This window comes from Homo sapiens, chromosome 20 (assembly GCF_000001405.40).
Source record: "Homo sapiens chromosome 20, GRCh38.p14 Primary Assembly".
Classification (NCBI taxonomy): Eukaryota; Metazoa; Chordata; class Mammalia; order Primates; family Hominidae; genus Homo; species Homo sapiens.
Genome location: NC_000020.11, coordinates 64289517 through 64305089, shown reverse-complemented (window position 1 = coordinate 64305089; position 15573 = coordinate 64289517). Strand labels below are relative to the sequence as shown.

At 41.2% G+C, this 15573-nt stretch overlaps 2 pseudogenes across 1 annotated transcript, besides 2 other annotated features; one reads left to right on the top strand and one right to left on the bottom strand.

The window, feature by feature from the left end:
• Positions 1-1735: 1735 nt before the first annotated feature.
• Positions 1736-14705, bottom strand: SEPTIN14P20 (septin 14 pseudogene 20; annotated as a pseudogene). The gene is made up of 3 exons (NR_040415.1): positions 14356-14705; positions 10031-10199; positions 1736-1939 (listed from the first exon to the last, which is right to left on the bottom strand). The product of NR_040415.1 is annotated as a septin 14 pseudogene 20 (transcript).
• Positions 1858-2358: an enhancer, noted in NCBI's record as "H3K4me1 hESC enhancer chr20:62934085-62934585 (GRCh37/hg19 assembly coordinates)". NCBI's record gives its function as "activates a minimal SCP1, AML or CMV promoter by ChIP-STARR-seq in naive H9 embryonic stem cells {active_cell/tissue: H9 hESC(naive)}" and the evidence as "EXISTENCE:reporter gene assay evidence [ECO:0000049][PMID:30033119]".
• Positions 2359-2859: an enhancer, noted in NCBI's record as "H3K4me1 hESC enhancer chr20:62933584-62934084 (GRCh37/hg19 assembly coordinates)". NCBI's record gives its function as "activates a minimal SCP1, AML or CMV promoter by ChIP-STARR-seq in naive H9 embryonic stem cells {active_cell/tissue: H9 hESC(naive)}" and the evidence as "EXISTENCE:reporter gene assay evidence [ECO:0000049][PMID:30033119]".
• On the top strand, positions 12050-13879 carry CICP4 (capicua transcriptional repressor pseudogene 4; annotated as a pseudogene).
• Positions 14706-15573: the final 868 nt, after the last annotated feature.

The following is a 15573-nucleotide window of genomic DNA, read 5'->3' as shown; positions in this document are numbered from 1 at the left end:
AAGAATATATACAATATGGTTACATTTATATGAAGTCCAAAAACTTGCAAAATAAAGAAATGTATTTAGAAATAGATTCACATGTGAGAAAACTAGAAGAAAATTAATGAAAGGATAAAAGGGATAGCAGTAATTCTGAGTAGTTGAGGGGATTTCAATTGGAAAAAAATAGTATCATATTCTTTAAGTCAGGTAGTGGGTATTAGCATTTGTTTTACCATCGTTCTTTATTCTTATAGCTACACTATATATTTTCAATGTATTTAATGTATTTTTTGCATAATTAAATATGCAATAAAAATGAGAAAACAAAAAAGTAGAAAATGATAAATTACAATAAAGAAATGGAGAAAAATTATAATCTAGTTGAGTAATGGTATATTACATAGCTATTTTCTTAAGTAGATGTATGTACATGATGTATGCACGATTGTACATACATGTTCTTAATTATATATAAATATATATGTACATATTTTTAATATAAAATACTAAACAAAGTACACCAAAATATTAGCTCCTATGTTAGTGAGATAATGTTTTTTTTTTTTGTATTTTAAGTTTTACATAGTAGGTGTATTTATCTGTTTTCATACTGCTATAAAGAACTGCCCAAGACTGGGTAATTTATAAAGGAAAGAAGTTTAATTGGCTCACAGTTCAGCACAGCTTGGGAGGCCTCAGGAAATCTACAATCATGGCGGAAGACAAAGAGGAAGCAAGCCAGCTTCTTCGCAAGGCAGCATGAAGAAGTGCCGAGCAAAGGGGAAAGAATCCCTTATAAAACCATCAAATCTCGTGAGAACTCACTATCACAAGAACAGCACAGGGGAAACTGCCCCCATGATTCAATTACCTCCACCTGGTCTCTCCCTTGACCTGTGGGGATTATGGGGGCTATGGGGATTACAATTCAAGATGAGATTCAGGTGGGGATACAAAGCCTAACCATATCAGTAGGCATGTGTTGAATTTTAAACTCAGAGAAAAATACTAGTGTTTTTATAGGATTCTTACTAAAGAAAAACCAGAAAGTAATAAACCATCTACGCTAAGACATAAAATTCAGTTGTTTAGTTACAAGATAGAATGTGGCCTTGTAAGAAAGCAAATTAACTTCTAACATCCAAAGCCTTAGAGAAGATTCAAGTGACTGACGGATCTTAAACAGAGCTATTATTACAACTCAAACTGCAGTAAAATATCCTCAGCAACATAGATGTGTGTGTTTCACTAGTCAGATCAATACAAATTTAATGAAACTCCATTGGTGGTGTTTTTAATCAGACAATTTCTGAAGATGTCCTGGCTTATTCATAGATGCAAGCCAAATCTCTAGAAGAGTACCATAATAAGAAAAAAAAGAATACAGGCAATTGAGAGCTGTTCCAAAGTTTAGGGAGTTTTTGTAAGGAATTAATAAATAAAAATGTTCTAGAAAGAGAGAAATTAATATGCAGTTCATACTGCCAGAATTGCAGGCAATTTATCAAACTCCCCTAATCCTCCAAAATCGCTATTTTTTTTTTTGACACACACTTTACAGTACAGAAGAAAATGTCTCCGGCAATAAATCACAGTTAAAATTACCTAGTCTACAATTAACTACACAGTGATGGTAAATCATTTTCTACCAAAAGAAAGAAATGTCTTGTCTATTCAGGTTCTGCTCTACTTAAAAGTTTTCCTTGTTGGCGAGCAAGTGGTTAGAAAATCATATTTTATACGTACATTCAGCTTAACTATCATTCAGCTCAGGAAGATGACTCAGGGCCTTATCCATACCTTCAAGTTTGCTCTTAGAAAGTAATTGTTTCAGTATCTGTATCAAAAATGGCTTAAGTCTGCAATATGTTTCTGAATGATTAACAAGGTGATAGTTCTTCATTGAATCCTGGATGCTTTATTTTTCTTAATAAGAGGAATTCATATGGATCAGCTAGAAAAAAATTAAGAGGAAAATCACATGGAAAGTTATATATTATATATCTATTATATATATAATATTATATATCTATTATATATAATATATATCTATTATATATATATTATATATTGTATATCTATTACATATATAATATTATATATCTATTATATATTATATATCTATTATATATCATTTCCAAATTCCCCAGCGTTCACATTTGTCAGTGCAAGTAAAGAGCCTTAGTGCTGATGAGGTTTGAGGTATGACCATTTGGCCAGAATTTATGAACTCTACATGTCGCTTGATGTGTGCTTCAGGGTACACTTTTTTTTTTTTTTTTGAGACGGAGTCTTGCTCTGTCGCCCAGGCTGGAGTGCAGCGGTGCGATCTCAGCTCACCGCAAGCTCCGCCTCCCGGGTTCACGCCATTCTCCTGCCTGAGCCTCCCGAGTAGCTGGGACTACAGGCGCCCGCCACTATGCCCTGCTAATTTTTTGTATTTTTAGTACAGACGGGGTTTTATCGTGTTAGCCAGGATGGTCTTGATCTCCTGACCTCGTGATCCACCCGCCTCGGCCTCCCAAAGTGCTGGAATTACAGGTGTGAGCCACCACGCCCGGCCAAGGTACACTTTTAAGCAGAGACACTACTTTGAAGGTCATAAAAATATAATAAGAGATAAGGCTAATTTCCTTTAATAATAATAATAAAATCCTTTAATAAAAATATAAAGGAATAATAATTTTCTTTAATAAAATATAATAAGAGATAAGGCTAATTTCCTTTAATAAAATATAGTAACTACATACCAACAGAATTCCAAAAAAAGAAATGGAGAGGAAGGGAGCATGGGTCATTAATCTTGTCAAAAATATAAAATTATATACGAGGAATTCCTAGAAACTGTTTTCCTTGTCTGCGGCCATTGTGCTGCTGCTACACAACTACCGCAAGCAGCCCTTCACGCCCTCCTCCCAGTACAAAGCTAATTGACTTGTGAGAAATGTTAAGCTTGGAAGAGTCAGCATCGCTGCACTTATTTTTTATTCTACTCTGACATTAGAATAATCCTTGAGTGGGGGAAAGGTTAAAAACCCCCCTGGATAAGTGTTACTAATTAATGATGATTGTTTTAAACAATGTTTGGATAATTTTTCCTTGTCCCTTGACATAAACTTGATAAATAACTGAGAAGTGAGAAGGAGATTAGTGGGTTGATTAAATTCCATTCAGGTACTTCAAGTTAGCTCCAAAAATTTAGCTATTTATAAATTGTCATGCATTGTTAATGTATAAGAGATGTAGATTTCATTTATCTTTGGTGGAGCGAGATGAAGCAGTGAATCATTGAAGACTGAAAGAAAGAAAAAGGTCTTTTCCCTTTTCTTTAAGAAGCATCATTAGTTAAAAACATGTTAGTTGATACCAGAGAACTATATTTAAAGGGACAGCAATAAGCAAATTGATTACTCTGGTGATTATTGGAGTGACATTGCCTTTTAGTTGTACTTTCACAAAAATTCACAATATTTGCCAAAGTCAAGTTATCCATTACACTATTAATTTGTCATTCTTTTGTTTATATAGTCAATATCTCTATCTCAATTGGATCTATCTCAACTGCTTCTAAACAAGCCACCATAGTCTCTCCCATTTCAACAATCTCTTCCAAGTACCATTTCATTTCTTCTTTTCATATTTTTGAAAACTTTTGAAAAACTACCTATTTTCCTCCTCCATTTCTTGTTCATTCCATTCTAGTGGACATGGAATCTGTTCCTCCTCCAAAACGGAATTTGGTAACCCTTAAATTACTAAACCCAAAACAATATGTTGTTTTTATCTTTACCTCTCTGTGGCATTTAATGATAAGACCACTACTTTCTTCTCTTTTACCCTTCTTTCTTGAATTCAGTCAAACAACGTACTTACATTTTTCATCTTATTCTCCATCTTAGAAACCACCTCAGCTTTCTCCATTCAGCCATAAAATTGTGCTTTTCCTCAAAGATTAATCTGCCTCTCCTCTCACTCTATACTATCTCTGTTAGCTAATTTTATTTGCGCACATTGCTTATACTGGGCATTATATACACATATGCATGTGTGTACATGTGCACACACACACTGTATGTGGACATGTATATATATATGTGTGTGTGTATATATATAGTATATATATAAATTACAATAACATAAAGGTGGCATTTTAAATTAGTGGAAATTACCCTGATTTGATCACTACACATTCTATACATGTAAAGAAATATCACTCTGTATCCCAAGAATATGTACAATTATGGTTTGCCAAATGAAAAAGTTCATACATTGAAAAATTTTAGATAAATATCAAACTTTCTCTGAAACTGTAACTGTAAAATGTAAAAAACAGTAATTGCTATATTGCTTATTTTTGAGTAGAATATGAGACATTTCCCTAATCATTATGTGTAATTACAATTACATATATATGTTTATATATTACATACATATATATATATATGTAATTGTAATTACACATAATGATTAGGGAAATGTCTCATATTCTATATATATAGACAGAGAGAAAATATATGAGGGAGAGAAAGAATCTTTCCATCTCCTTTGAGTTCCACGGTGTTGAGAGTCAGGACAACTGCAATTGCTTCATCATGCCTGCTTGCAATTATAGGGCTTTTGAACCATTTGTTCCCTCCTTAGATATCCTCATTTTTTTCAGATTCTTGCTTAGAAGTCACTCCTCCGTGGACCTCCTCTGACATATTAAACATTGCAGTCCATTATAAGCTGCAAGAGGACAGGGATTTTTGCCTGTTTTATTCCCTACTGTATCACCAGGGGCTACAGCAATATCTGACAAACAGTGGGCATGTAATGAATATTTGTTAAGTGAAGTAATAAATTCAATCAAATCACATCACCTGTTTAAGGCACTTCATTGGCTTCACATTGCACTTAGAATAAAGAGAAATTCTTTTTATACAATATAAGTTCCTGCAGAATGCAGACACTTTCTACTTCTCCAGCCTCTTTTCGACTCCTCTCCTACTGGCTTCTGTATTTAAGCCACATTAGACCTTTCTTCAGTTTTTCATATAGACTTTGTCGCATCACACCTCAGAGATTCTGTACATGTTCTTCCTCCTGCCTAGAAAGGGTCGTCCCTCCACTTTCGCCAACTAATCCCTGCTCAACTTTTCATCTCAGCAGGAGGCCCATTCTCTTTGGCAATCCTCTGGCCTCCAGCCCATTTATTATATGCTCACATGTCAACATGTACTTCGTACAGCATGTAACACAATTGCACTTTTATATTTTAACAAATTATATTTCCCATATTGAACTGTAAGTCTCCTGAAAGGTGGAATTTTGTTCTTGCTCATCATCAACTTTTTCAACATCCAGTGCACCATTTAGAACTTAGATGTAGTCAATACAGGTTTGTGGAATGAAAGAGGAAAAGAAAGAATTAATATTCCTTTAAATTAGGATGGCAAAGATCGTATATAGAAAATTGGCTAAGTTGTGGTCCATTCATGTTTGCTCCCAATTAAGGAGCACAGCTATGAAAAGGAAGGCTTCAAATTAATAACCAATAGATTTTTAAAAAAAGAAAACTGGCCGGGTACTGTGGCTTATGTCTGTAATATCAGCATGTTGGGAGGCCAAGGCAGGATTACTTGAGCCCAGAAATTCCAGACCAGCCTGAAAATTTGGCAAAACTCTGTCTCTACAAAAAATACAAAAATTAGCCAAGTTTGGCGGCATGTGCCTGTAGTACCAGCTACTTGGGAGGCTGAGGTGGAAGAATAGCTTGAGTCTGGGAGGTCAAGGCTGCAATGAGCTGTGATCGCACCACTGCACTCAAGCCTGGGTGGTAGAGTAAGACCCTGTCTCAAAAAAAAAAAAAAAAGAAAAATCACTAAGCAAAATAAGACATGTGAAGGATCATGTCAAAGGTAAGAAAAATTAGGGGAACATTAAAAGCTTTCTTCCCAAGCCACTAAATCAACTTGACTAACAAAATTACCACTTGATTTAGCATTAGAAAATTACATTACATATCAAACATAAACCCATTAATCAAATACTACAGAAATTTCTGAGTTAAATGGTATAATGTTAGCTTATGCCAGAGCTGACCTTGAAAGATTGTTCAAATATGGCTCAGTGTGATTGAAAGTTCTGTGTGAATATGTTTTTGGAAAGATCCAACAGCAACACCTTAGTGTATGTTTTTGAAATAAAATGTATCTGAGTAGCAGCAAAGTTATTCTCAAATTTCCATTTTATAGCTGGAGATGTTATACCGTGACATATACGACAGGACCTAATATGGATTAATCCCTTTTGGAAGTCAATCAGGAAGAGGGGAGCAGTTAAAACCGTTGCTTGGTTTACAAACATTAGAACAATTTTCTTATTCACGCCATCTGATTATTGTATTTTATTTTTTCCCCAACGTTTAGACTACACAATGAGTTAAGAACGACAAAAATAAGCTCACCAATATACTATGTACATATTTACCAAAATCTGTGCATGCCTATACATATAAACACAGCTGATAATTTATTAGTTAGGCTCATTTGTAATTTTTGTCACTATAGACCAGTTTTTTATTTAAATTGAAGATTAGTATACATTTTAAATGATTAGTCAAAATAAAAAATCTAAAATGTGCTCTAAATACCTCTTAGGTCAGAAAAAAAAAAGTCAAAAGCTAGAGTATAGAGAAATTAAGAAACGCCCTAAATTTCTAATCTGATAAAAATTCATACAAGATTTAAATATTTTAATGGAAAATAGAACAGAACTAATTATTGAAGAAATTATAGAAAGGAAACAAACAGATTATATGGAGGATTTTTAGAAGATAAGTAAATAAATTAATATACTAGGAAAAAACAAGGGAAATATAATTGATAAATAAATACAGGTAAGAGTTCTTTTGAAATAATGATTAAATAGAAAATCTCTGTCAAAACTAAAAGGAAAGATGCATAAATATATAAATAAATGATAAAACGATGTTGCATATGTATATAACTTTTTCAGAATCAAAAAATTTAAATTTCTGTAATAAAATTTAAATGTTTATAAATTTAAAAAACTGGAAGAAAGAATGTTGACTGTTCACAATACAAATAAATGACAAATATTTGAGGTGATGGATATGCTAATTATCCTTATTTGATCATTGGACATTGTATACATGTATCAAAATATCACTCTGTATCCCATGAATATGTACAATTATTTGTCTCAAAAACAAACAAACAAAAGATAATGGGAGAATGTTGAAAACTCAGAGAGAAGAGCAACTCTCACAGATAGGGATCCAGATAACATTAGCAGCTGATTTCTCGGCAGAAAGCTTGAAGGCCAGTAGGCAGTGGATTATATATTTAAAATAATTAAGAAACCTGTCAATTGAGAAATCTATAGCTGGAAAACTTATCCTTCAAAAATGAGGGAGAAATTAAGACATTTCCGGATTTTTTTTTAAAACTGAAAAAAAATCCGTTTATTCCTGAATTTGCCATTCAAGAGGTGTTAAGTCCTTCAGGTTGAAATAAATGAACTCTAGGCAATAACTATATAAGTAAATAAGCAAGCTGTATGAATATACAAAGCTCTCCGGTAAAGGTAAATACATAAACAAACATAAAAACAGTCCTATTGTAATTTGGTTTCTAACTCTGCTTTTTATTTTCTACATAATTTAAAAGGCAAATGCGTAAAATGTAATTGTAAATCTGTTAGCTGGTATACAATGAATAAAGATATAATTTGTTACATCAATAACATAAAAAGAGTAGAGCTATATGTATAGCAGTAGAATTTTGGTATGTGATTGAACTTAAGTTGAAATAAATTCAAATTAAAATGTTATAAATCTAGGATGTTATATGTAATTCTCATAGTAACCAAAAACGAAATATACATAGAATATAAACAAAAGGAAATGAGACTAGAAACAAAATGTGTCACTACAAAAAAATCAACTAAAGATAAAAAAGAAATAATTGAGAAAATGGCAAAAATCAGTAACTCTGACGTATTAAAACTTTCCATGCTACATACATCTGAAAACTCTATTTCACATAAAACTGGAGCTGAAAGAGACAAATATTTACCTATAAAGTTAAAAGTTATATAGGGAACAAACACTAATTTTTTTTAGAAAAAATTATAAAAAGAGTAAAAATATGCCTTATACTACCGTAATTTCATGTTTTACAGCTCTGGGAAAATAGAAAATAAAATGTTCTGTTAGCATGAATCCCTCTGTGCCCCCAAAAAACCCTATGGATTGCATCATTATTACCTAAAAAGTCTATTGTCAAATGCAGCAGAGTGATATTTTTTACAAGGTAGATATTAATTTTAGATATGGAATAATATTGGTGATTTCAATTTTATAACACTGGGTTAAGATGAAAGAATGAGAAGATAAAGGTCCCTCAGCAATATAACTCACAAACATGTTCAGAAGCAGTAAGAAGTTACATTAATTATCTTTTGAAAGTCGATAATCTACATCTTTAATGTATGCATATAGCATAGCTAATGTACTATCGCTGGGTCCATTTATTCAATGAATAATTGCCGCTATGTGTCAGGCATTTTTCTAGGCCTAGGAATGGATACATAAGTGAACAAAGCAAAGATTCTGGTTCTTGTAGAGTTTCCATTAAAAGACCATTTAGTAAAACTTTTCTTCCCCCAAATTATAAAATCTGTAAGATGGTTTAACAACATGTGTAAAAGTCATTGTGGGCCAGGCACGGTGGCTCATACCAGGTGTGGTGACTCATAGCACTCTGTCACCCAGGCTGGAGTGCAGTGGCACAATCTCTGCTCACTGCAACCTCTGCCTCCTGGGTACAAGCGATTCTCCTGCCTCAGCTTTCTGAGTAGCAAGGACTACAGGTGCACACCATCACGCCTGGCTAATTTTTGTACTATTAGTACAGACGGAGTTTCACCATGTTGGCCAGGCTGGTCTCGAACTCCTGACCTCAAATGATCCATCTACCTCGGCCTCCCAAAGTGCTGGAATTACAGATGTGAGCCACAATGCCCGGCCTTATTTTCTACAACTTTGGTAACTTTAGCATATACCCCAAATCTGTAAGACATAATATTATAATTCAAATGCAACTCATGGCTTCTCATTGTACTCTTTCTCTAGCTTTTGAATTATTTATTCTAATACCAGTTTTAATTCTGACACAAAAGCATGGGAGTTCTAATCAAAATCCAACCTTTTATCATAAAAATTATGAAGAAATTATGAGTAGAACTTAAACAGGAAAATAGGCCTATTAATTAGATTTGTCTTTGTAGCATTTAACTCTATAATAAATAACATAATATTTTATGCCTATGAGTACCCAACAAAGCCTCCAGCGTCTATTTAGATATAAAATGTAAAAGTCACTACTGGATCCACAAGCAAGACTATGGTAAATAAATTTCTCCACCTAACCAGCTTCTTTTACATGATGTTACATGTTTCTTTTGTTTTTTCATTTTGGCAAATATTGATTGTCATCTTCTTGTTTGTCTATGTCCTAAGTGCTGGGATACAGAATCTGAAAAGATGGACACAGGACCTGCCTTCAAGTTCACCTTTTTTTTTTTTTTTTTTTTTTGAGATGGAGTTTTGCTCTTGTCACCCAGGCTGGAGTGTAATGGTGAGATCTCGGCTCACTGCAACCTCCACCTCCAGGGTTCAAGTGATTCTCCTGCCTCAGCCTCCCAAGTAGCTGGGATTACAGGTCCCAGCCACCACGCCTAGCTAATTTTTGTATTTTTAGTAGAGATAGCGTTTCATCATCTTGGTCAGGCTGGTCTCGAACTCCTGACCTCAGGTAGTCGACCCACCTCGGCCTCCCACAGTGCTGAGATTACAGGCATGAGCCACCACGCCCTGCTAGGAGTTCACGCTTTAGTTGGGGAAAATATACAATAAGCAAGCCAATTTTTAAAAAGAGAACTGCAATTAGAGTTAAATGCTACAAAGACAATCTCACAGGAAGATGGGATGTAGAATGATAAGGCTCTCAGAATAGTAAGAGAAACTATTGCTTCTTACGATGTTTGTCTTTCTTTGTATCAGTGCTCAGCTGAGTCTGCAGTGCTTCAGAGGCAGCTTTCATTTTATAAAAATCTATGATTTCTCCTTCCAGTTGTTTTTTCTCTTCCTCGAGCTTCCTTATCTCCTCCTGTTGAATCATTTTAAGATGCTCGAATTTGTCCTGCAGCTGTGAAACCAATGTGCAGTTGTGACACCAAAGCAGTGTGGCTAAACACCCAAAAGAATATGCTTTTTTCTGATTATCAAACAAACCCAAATCATCACAGTAGAGCACGATCTTAATAACAATCTCAAAAACTCAGGAGTAAACACTCAGATATGGAATTTTTCTTTTCTTTCTTTTTTCCTTTTATAAGATGGAGTCTCACTCTGTTGCCCAGGCTGGAGTGCACTGGTGCAATCTCAGCTCGCTGCAACCTCCATCTCCCAGTTCAAGTGATTCTCCTGCCTCAGCCTCTTGAGTAGCTGGGACTACAGGCATGCACCACCACTACAGGTGTGTGCCACCACACCTGGCTAATTTTTGTATTTTTAGTAGAGATGCGGTTTTGCCATGTTGGCCAGGCTGGTCTCGAACTCCTGACCTCAGGTGATCCTCCCGCTTTGGCCTCCCAAAGACTTTTTTTTTTTTTTAATATACAGACAAGTTCTCAGTATGTTGCCCAGGCTGGTCTCAAACTCCTGAGCTCAAGTGATCCTCCCACCTCAGCTTCCCAAAGTGCTGGGACTGACTGGATGCAGTGGCTCATGCTTGTAAACTCAGCACTTTGGGAGGCCAAGGTGGGAGGATCGCTTGAGCCCAGGAGTTCAAGACCAGACTGGGTGATATAACACAATAGTAAACTTCAACAGGAGAGAGAATCTGTAAACTTGAATATAGATCTTCTGAAATTATCCAGTCAGAGGACAAAGAAAAAAAGAATAAAAAAGAGAAAAGAAGGCTGGGCGTGGTGGCTCAAGCCTGTAATCCCAACACTTTGGGAGGCCGAGGCAGGCAGATTAAGAGGTCAGAAGTTCAAGACCAGCCTGGCCAACATGACAAAACCCCATCTCTACTAAAAATACAAAAATTAGCCGGGTGTGGTGGCACACACCTGTAGTCCCAGCTACTTGGGAGGCTGAGGCAGGAGAATCGCTTGAACCCAGGAGGCGGAGGTTGGAGTGCAATGTGAGCCGAGACCACACATTGCACTCCAGCCTGGGTGACAGAGCATGACTCTGTCTCAAAAAAAAAAAAAAAAAAAAAAAAGAGACAGAGAAAAGAAAGCCAACAAGACACCATTAGGCAAACCATTGTCAGGTTATGGGAGTTTGAGAAGGAAAGTAGAGAAAGGAGAAGAAAGCTTATTTAAAGAATGGCTGAAAACTGCCTAAATCATGGGAAAGATTTAGACATCTAAATCCATGAAGCTTAAAGATTCCTAAAGAGGTTCAAACCAAATAGATACTCACCAAGTCACAATATAATCAAATAGTCAAAAGTTAAAGAAACTTTGCAGGTCAGGACAGAATCCAATAATACATTCAAAGTGCTGAAAGAAAAAAACTGCCAGCAACTAATACTATGTCTGACAAAGCTGTCCTTCAGAAAGAAAAAAGAAATAACGTGTTTCCTCGACAAACAAAGCTGAGGGCATTCAGGACCACTAGGTCTACCTTAAAAAAATGCTTAACGGAGTTTTTCAAGTAAAAAGGAATGAAGTTGGGAGCGGTGGCTCATGCCTGTAATCCCATTTTGGGAGGCTGAGGTGGGTGGATCACCTGAGGTCGGGAGGTCAAGACCAGCCTGGCCAACATGGCAAAACCCCACCTCCAGTAAAAATACAAAAAATTAGACAGGTATGAAGGCCACTGAGATCGTGCCACTGCACTCCAGCCTGGGTGACAAGAGTCAAACTACATTTCAAAAACAAAAAACAAAACAAACAAAAAAAACAAAACTTGAGGCCTGGCCTTCTGCTCCTCTCCAACCTCCCCTTCTCTGGGCCCAAGCCACCTTGGCTGAGGAGGGGGCGAGGAGGTGTGAGCCCCTGCCAGGAACCCCCTGCCCGGACCAAGTACTCGGCCCCCAGGCCTGCGTTCAGTGAGGCCTCCCGTGGCGTCAGCATGTTCGTGTGGAGGAATGTGGAAGGTCACTCTGCGGCTGTGTTCCCCTGGTACTCCATCCCCTTCCTGACCCCTCCCTGCAGCCACACGAGGCCCAGCAACCTGCCAGTCACTCAGTGGCCTGCAACCAGAGAAAACAACCTGCCAAGTTGCCAGCTGTTGCTCATGAGCGTCCACCAGGTGGGACAGGGAGTGTTGACCCTGGGCGGCCCCCTGGAGCCACCTGCCCTGAAAGCCCAGGGCCCGCAACCCCACACACTTTGGGGGTGGTGGAACCTGGTAAAAGCTCACCTCCCACCATGGAGGAGGAGCCCTGGGCCCCTCAGGGGAGTCCCTGCTGGACAGTGAGACAGAGAATGACCATGATGATGCTTTCCTCTCCATCATGTCTCCTGACACCCAGTTGCCTCTACCACTCAGATGATGTCAGGCCCAGTCCCTCAGTGCCCTGCGCAAGGAACAGGACTCATCTTCTGAGAAGGATGGACGCAGCCCCAACAAATGGGACAAGGACCACATCTGGTGGCCCATGAGTGGCGCTCATGATCTTCAGCAAGCGGCACCAGGCCCTGGCGGGGCGCAGCAGGGTCACCCCAACCAGGATAACCGGACCGTCAGCCAGATGCTGAGCGAGCGGTGGTACACCCTGGGGCCCAGTGAGATGCAGAAATACGACCTGGCCTTCCAGGTGAAGGTGGCCCACTTGCAACAAGGACCGAAAGAAGTCCAGCTCAGAGGCCAAGCCCACAAGCCAGGGGCTAGCAGCAGTGTAACAAGGGCTCGTGGGAGCGGAGCATATCAGAGACGGGCACTGCCACTGCCCCTGGGGCGTCCTCTGAACTCCTGTCAGTTGCAGCCCAAACACTCCAGAGCTCGGATGCCAAGGAGCAGCTTCTGTGGGGCAGAACGGCTGCACACAGTCAGGGAACCTGGCTCAGCCTGGCCCAAGCCTTCTCCCACAGCGGGGTACACAGCCTGGACGGCAGGGAAATAGACCGTCAGGCACTACGGGAACTGACACAGGTGGTGTCTGGCACTGCATCATACTCTGGCCCAAAGCCTTCTACTCAGCATGGAGCTCCAGGCCACTTTGCAGCCCCTGGTGAGGGAGGTGACCCGTGGGCAGCCCTGCTGCCGCCCACGTGAGCTGCTCATTCCCAGCACATGGCCAGTGAGGACATAGCGAGTGACGAGGAGCACACGGTCATCCATGAGGAGGAGGGGGTGATGATGTCATTGCTGATGATGGCTTTAGCACCACCGACACCGATCTCAAGTTCAAGGAGTGGGTGACCGACTGAGAGTGGGGACAGCTCTGGGGAGGAGCCAGAGGGCAACAAGGGCTTTGGTGGGAAGGTATTTGCACCTGTCATTCCTTCCTCCTTTACTCCTGCCGCCCCTTGCTGGATCCTGAGCCCCCAGGGTCCCCCGATCCACCTGCAGCTTTTGGCAGTCTATGGTCACACCCTGTCCTCCTCCTACACATACTCGGATGCTTCCTCCTCAACCTTGGCACCCACCTCCTTCTTACTGGGCCCAGGAGCCTTCAAAGCCCAGGAGTCTGGTCAACGCAGCAGAGCGGGCCCCCTACGGCCTCAACCCCTGGGGATGGGGGCCCAGGGACACCTTCCAAGGTGGCCTGTTTCCTCCCAATGGATCCTGCCACCTTCTGGTGCAAGAGACCTGAAAGTGTGGGCGACCTGGAGCTACCAGGCTCCTCAGTCATCAGGGTCCCTCCCAACACTAAGGCTTTCCTAGGCAGGAGCTGGGCTGAGCCACCCGGGGAGCAGAGCCTGAAGAGAAACTGACTGGGCTTTCGGGGTCGGGGCAGAGGGAACCCCACGGACATGGATCCCACACTGGAGGACCCCACCGCGCCCAAATGCAAGATGAGAAGATGTTCCAGCTGCAGTCCAAAGCCCAACACCCCCAAGTGTGCCATGTGTGATGCGGACAGCTTCCCCTTTGCCTGTACAGGTGGAGAAGCCGAGGACAGGCTCAGGGAACCGGAGACCGAGAAGGAGCTGTCCTCTTCACTGCACGTGCCCTGGACCAGTGCCGGCCCTGATCATGCAGCTCTTCCAGGCCCACTGCTTCTTCCTGTCCACTAGGCCACAGCCGCCCTCCAGGCCCACTATGCACACATCTTCCCCTCCAAGGTTTGTTCTGCCCCTGCCCTGACTCCCAGCCCTGTGGGGGTCCTGACCGCACCTCACCTGGCTCAGACTCTTGACGCTGCCCTGGCTGCCCCACCACTGCCTCTGCCCGAGAGTCACGTGAGGCTGAGAGTAGGGGCAGGGGCAGCAGTGGTGCCAGTTGGGGGGCGGTCCAGTGGGAGGAGCCTCAGCCTCGCGGGCTGCTCCGTGGGACTGATGACTGCATGATCTTCTGGGCACCTCACGGATCTTCAACTGCAGGTGAAACGGATGCTGGTGGTGGGTGCAGGGCCGCTGGGAGCTGCTGCATGGTTCCCAGAGGCTGGACTGGGGCAGGTGCCAACTGAAGCTCCTGGGTCAGCATGGGCAGGATGTTCTGCACACAAACCTTGGAGAAGAAGATGTGTGCATAGCGGGTCCACTGCTGCTGCCCCTGCCCTGACTCCCAGCCCTGCCTGACCCCACCTCAACCTGCTCAGGCTCTGGCGCAACCCTGGCTGCCCTGCCACTGCCTCTGCCCCAGAGTTGGGGCCTTGACAGCCTGGTTGGAAGGGGACACCCCAGCCCTGCCTCAACACCTGGGGGTCTCCATAACTACCACAGGCAGGTGGGCAACCCCAAAGATCCCAGGACTCACAGTACCCCCTGAGAACATGGACAGTATGTGGGGGTAGCAATGGAGGGCAGGATGGTTATCTTCTCCCAGGTGAAGCCATTTAATCCTTTCAGTTTGGGACAGAGTAAGGCCTTCCTCTTTTTTTTTTTTTTTTTTTTTTTGAGACCGAGTCTTGCTCTGTCGCCCAGGCTGGAGTGCAGTGGTGCGATCTTGGCTCACTGCAACCTCTTCCCGCCGGGTTCACGCCATTCTCCTGCCTCAGCCTTCCGGGTAGCTAGGATTACAGGTGGACGCTACCACGTCCGGCTAATTTTTGTATTTTTAGTACAGACGGGGCTTCATCATCTTGGCCAGGCTGATTTCGATCTCCTGACGTCGTGATCTGCCTGCCTCCCCCTCCCAAAGTGCTGGGATTACAGGCGTGAGCCACCACGCCTGGCCAAGGCCTGCTCCTCTTATCTATACCCCCTACCCCTGCAGCTGTGCCGGGGGAAAGCTGGGCAGTTTCCCTCCTCCGAGCCCCTGTACATACCATGAATTGTGGGACCTTCAGAGCTTTTCACTTTTCGGAAAATAGCTCCTGCTGGGGCTACAAGATGGAGTGTGAAGAGGGCCTTGGGCCACAGGGAGGCGCCTGTGGACTAGGGGGAGTTCATGCACCC